We start from the raw sequence: 5,276 nt of genomic DNA, 5'->3' as shown, positions 1-5,276 counted from the left end.
GAAGCAGAGATCTTTTCTCCAGGAGTCCTAGAGAAACCATGCTTGATCATATATTTAATGACATTTATTAAGTGCATATTATAAGCCAGTCATTCTCTGTCATCTCTGTAGACCTTGTGATGTTCTACTGCAATGGGTTGGTCAGGCCCTGGCTTCCATAGAATCTTAGATTTTGACTCATATTTTTTTTCAAAGCAATAGTAAGGGTAAAAATGACAGCCCGTGGATCTAGAGTTAGAGGACCAAGGTTTGAGACTGAACAGCTTAGGATATCATAGTTGCAGGCTGAGGATGAGCAAACACTGTTGGTGGACTCCAGAGAGAAGAGTGAGTCTGAGTCAGCCAGAGAGGAGTAGGGGACAAAGACAGGTGTCAGAGAAGAAGTGGCTTTTCAAATCATGATAGAAGATAAGGAACAAGGAGCTCTTAAGAAATTAAGAGCTCTTAATAAAAGGAGAAAACACGTAGTGAAGTGAGGGATTGAGGCTCCTGAGGAGAGGTAGGCATGAAATGCTTAGAATCCTGAGAACTGCAGGGGCGGAGAGAGTCAGAATGAGATTTGCTGAAGGTAAAGAGAGTTAGGAGACAAGGATATCTCCATGGTTTCTTGCCAGGGCAACTGGATGATTGGCAGGTCACTTTCTGAGAAACTTTGGGATAAGGAGAGAAATAAAGAATTTGCTTCATGTCAAGAATTTAGACATGTCAAGAATCAGTTGCAGAATCAAGTAGGCAATTGTTCATAAAAATCTAGACAGATCATGGCTGGAGATACACATTTGAGAGTTGTCAGTGGGACTTAAAGTTATGGGGCTGGATGAGCTCCTCTGTCAGGGGGGTCCCCAAGACCACCTCATGCTCAAAGATTTTCTAGAGGAATTCATAGGACCCAATTGTTATACTCATGGTTATAGTTTATTACAGCAAAAGGATGGAGAATAAAATTAGCAAAGGGAAAAGGTGCATGGGGTGAAGTCTGGAGGATACCCTGCACCAGCTTCCAAGTGTTCTCTTTCAGTGGAGTCACATGGTGTATTAGTCTGCTTTCTTTGGCCTATAACAGAATATCTAAATCTGGGTAATTTGTTTTAAAAAGGAAATTTATTTCTTACAGTTATGGAGGCTTAGAAGTCTAAGGTCTAGGGGTTGCATCTGGTGAGAGCACTTCTTGCTGGTGGGGACTCTCTGTGGAGTCCTGAAGTGGTGCAGGGAATCACATGCCAAGGGGACTGAGTGTGGTAACATGTTAGCTCATGTTTCTCTTTCTTTTCTTATGAAGCTACCAGTTCCACTCCCATGATAACCCGTTAATCCATTAGTCCATGAATGGATTAATCCATTCATGAAGGCAAAACCCTCATGAGCCAATCACCTCTTAAAAACCCCCACCTCTCAATATTGCCACACTGGGGATTAAGTTTCAACATGAGTTTTGGAGGAGACAAATATCCAAACCACAGCACATGGGAAATCCCCCAGCAATGATGTGTGACAACGTGTGTGAAGCATTGCCATCGAGGGAAGCTCACCTAAACCTGGGTGTCCATGGTTTTTATAAAGGGTCAGTCACTGAAGCTCCAGACTCCTAGAAGGAAAGCAGATGTTCCTCCATAAATTACACTGTTAGTATAAACCATCTGGACAAAGTGGTACAGCATGGCTCAAGGCCTCAGGCAAACAAAAGCACTCTTACCAGATAGAACATTATGAGAGCTCAGTTCCCAGAGCTGCCCAAAGGCTAGTCAGGAAAACAGGACCTTCTGGGGAACTTACAGAGTTTGAGCAATAGGCCTGTTATGTCAACCCCAAGCAGAGTGGATGAAGACAAGGCAAGGGACAGGCTGACAGCTGATTCCTGGGTTCCTCTGATGTTTACAGGAGAGATCAAGCAAAGGAGACAAAAAAGGACTGTTAACACAGGGGGAAACCAACACTGAAAACTCCTGGAAATGAAGAGTTTTCAGAATGCGTTGTTGCTATCCTTGGAGCTGAATGGCTATCATAATGATGATAACATTAATTCAGATTTTAAAAATTAATCATTAGATGTGATACAAGAGACCGGAATTAGGATCTTAAGGGTTGCACTCAGTAGTACCAGAAACACCACCCTATTTGAACCCTGAGAACTTTCCTCTTCCCTGCCAAGAAATGTCCCCCTCCCCCTGACATCCTAGAGACAGATCATGCCCTTTTACCCTCTCGTTACTCTTACTTTGTTTTCTAGTATTTATAGTAAATGGATTCATAATCTTCTTGCTCTTCACTGTATCTTGAGCCCTTATCCAATTCATGGCCAATAAACAGAATCTTAATATAAACTTTGGTCTCAGCTCTTCCCGACAGTTGACAGATAAATCTCTAGATTAGATAGGCATCTTTCTAGAATGTTCCTGAGTGGTAACTCTTTAAAATTTTTATTTATTCATTTATTTATTTTGAGACAGGGTCTGGCTCTGTCGCTGAGGCTGGAGTGTAGTAGCATAATCTTGGTTCACTGCAACCTCTGCTTCCTGGGCTCAGGCAATCCTTCCTGCCTCAGCCTCCTGAGTAGCTGGGACTACAGCTTGTGCCACCAGGCCCAGCTAATTTTTGTATTTTTTGTAGAGACGGGGTTTCACCATGTTGCCCAGGCTGGTCTCAAACTCCTGGGCTCAAGTGATCCTCCTGCTCCGGCTTCCCAAAGTGTGGGGATTACAGGCGTGAGCCACTGCGCCCAGCAGTGGTAACTCTTCTAAAGTCCCTGTAATATTCAGGTTAAGTCAGGATTTATAGGTTCCTGGAAGTAAACATTACCACCTTGTTCATTGTGAAAGAAAATAAAAAAGACTAAACAAAAGACAGATAAACAAAGTCAGTTTTACATTACATAGTACTAACGCTTTATTTTCTGAAAATTGTTTTTTTTTTTTGAGATGGAGTCTTGCTCTGTTGCCCAGGATGGAGTGTAGCAACGTGATCTTGGCTCATTGCAGCCTCTGCCTCCCAGGTTCAAGCGATTCTTCTGCCTCAGACTCCTGAGTAGCTGGGATTACAGGCGTGCATCACCATGCCTGTCTAATTTTTGTATTTTTTAAGTAGACACAGAGTTTTGCCATGTTGGCCAGACTGGTCTTGAACTCTTGACCTCATGATTGGCCTGCCTTAGCCTCCCAAAGTACTAGGATTACAGGTGTGAGCCACTGCGCCTGGCCTATTTTCTGAATATCTTAAACAATTAGCAGAAAAATAAATGAAGTGAAAAAAGGAAGACGACCTAACACTCAAAGCATCCCATTCTGATTTTGTCATATTTGTATTTGCAGATCAATCTGCAAGATTTTACATCTTTACAACACACAGCTAGCAACACAGCATTTCTATTTGTCCATTTTTCTCTCTCAGTAAGGTTTTGAGGGTTTCTTCAGATGACATATTTATCTTACTAAATTTACTTATAAGGCTTTTTTTTTTTGCTTTTTTGTGAATACATACGAACTTTTTCTGTTTTGTTTGCAAACTTAGTATTGCTTGCACGTAGAGGAAAGATACTGATGTGTAGACAAGCGGCAACATAATGTAAAAGTTAAGAGCATGGACTCTAGAGTTCAACATCTTGGTCTCAAATGCACAACATAGGTGGAAATACAGATGAAACAAGACTGAGTGAAAATATTTAAGTTGGATGACATAGGTCTTGGGGAGTCATTAATTGAGTCCCTACTTTTGTTTTGAAATTTACAAAATAAAAGGTTAAAAAAATAAGCTACTTACTTCAATGTAGAAACCGATGTCACATTTAACCCTCAAACTTCAGAGATATGTCCATTAAAAGAACACAAACAAGAATGCCTCTTTTAGTAATACTTTTTTGGAAATGGTAGCCAATATAATCCAACATGAAAGAGAATGTCTAATTTAAAATACTGGTAAGGAAAAGATGAAATTGTAGATAACTGTCTCAATAGAAAAGCCAAGAGAGTCAACTGGAGTATTGTAAGAATTAATAACATTGCAGTAGGTTAACCAGATACAAAATAAGTATTTTTTAAAAGATCAACCACAATAACCAATAATAAGAAGCTTTGGGGATAGAGATTACATTTCAAATAGTAATAATTCATTGTTTTTAAAGGTCAGAATTTACGTGAAGAAAACTACAGGAGTGCTTTGACAAGCATTTTAAAAACTAAAAAATTATGTATTTTCATACAGCAGGGCTCCAATTTTCAGCTACCTCCCTGGTAGGATGAAAATTAACACAACTACCTCATAGGCTGATTGGGCTTGGTAATGAAATATTAAAGTGTTTAATACAGAGACAGGAACCTTTATTTAGCCAACGAATATTTATTGAGCATCTATTATGTGCCAGGTCTCTCTCTTTTTTTTTTTTTTAGGTGTTGGGGATGCAGCAGTGATCAACATCGATAAAATGCTTTTCCTTATGGAATTGACATCGTAGTGGTAGGTCGGACAGTAGACCAAATAAATAATTAAAATATATAGTGTGCTAGATAGTGAAAAGTTCTTTAGAGAAAAAAATAAAAGATGAAGGGGGAGGCACAGAGCATGTGGGGAGGGAAGCGTTTGCTTGCAAGTTCACAACGGGTGGTGGGGCAATGCCTCATGAGAAGATGATATTCCCCTAATTACCAGACGGTGAGAGCCAAATGAATCCCTCAGGAGAGGCTGCTAGGGAGTGCAAAGAGCACCTGCAAACGACCAGGGGCTGGAGTCTGCTGGATCTGTTGGAGAATGGGGAAAATGTGCCAAGCAAATGGGCAAGAAATGAGGGCAAAGAGAAAAGGGGACTACGCCTGTAATCCCAGCACTTTGGGAGGCCGAGGGCGGATCACCTGAGGTCAGGAGTTGGAGACTAACCTGGCCAACGTGGTGAAACCCCGTCTCTACTAAAAATACAAAAATTAGCCGGGCGTGGTGGCTGGCGCCTGTAATCCCAGCTATTCAGGAGGCTGAGGCAGGAGAATCGCTTGAATCCGGGAGGTGGAGGTTGCAGTGAGCCGAGATCGCGCTATTGCCCTCCAGCCTGGGCGACAAGAGCGAAATTCCGTCTCAAAACAACAAAACAAAACAAAACAAAAACAGAGAAAAGGGGAGAGGTGGGGGGAACAGATCCTTCAGGCCTTATAGGCAGAGAAAGAACTCAAAATTTAAAAATAAAATGATTATATTTTAGTATTATTAAATGTAAAAACATAGATTCCTGAAGGGTTCGGTAGACGCTCCCTCCACTGTAAAATGGGGATGTCGCAACTGTCTCACAGGTTTCCCCT

At 41.2% G+C, this 5,276-nt stretch overlaps 1 annotated feature.

Annotated features, from left to right (window-relative positions):
• Nucleotides 5,182–5,231: an enhancer, noted in NCBI's record as "active region_14763". NCBI's record gives its function as "activates an Ori minimal core promoter by ATAC-STARR-seq in GM12878 lymphoblastoid cells {active_cell/tissue: GM12878}" and the evidence as "EXISTENCE:reporter gene assay evidence [ECO:0000049][PMID:35858748]".

The sequence above is a fragment of the Homo sapiens genome, chromosome 19 (assembly GCF_000001405.40).
Source record: "Homo sapiens chromosome 19, GRCh38.p14 Primary Assembly".
Classification (NCBI taxonomy): Eukaryota; Metazoa; Chordata; class Mammalia; order Primates; family Hominidae; genus Homo; species Homo sapiens.
Note: the sequence above shows the minus strand (reverse complement) of the source record. Positions and strands in the feature narration are given on the sequence as shown.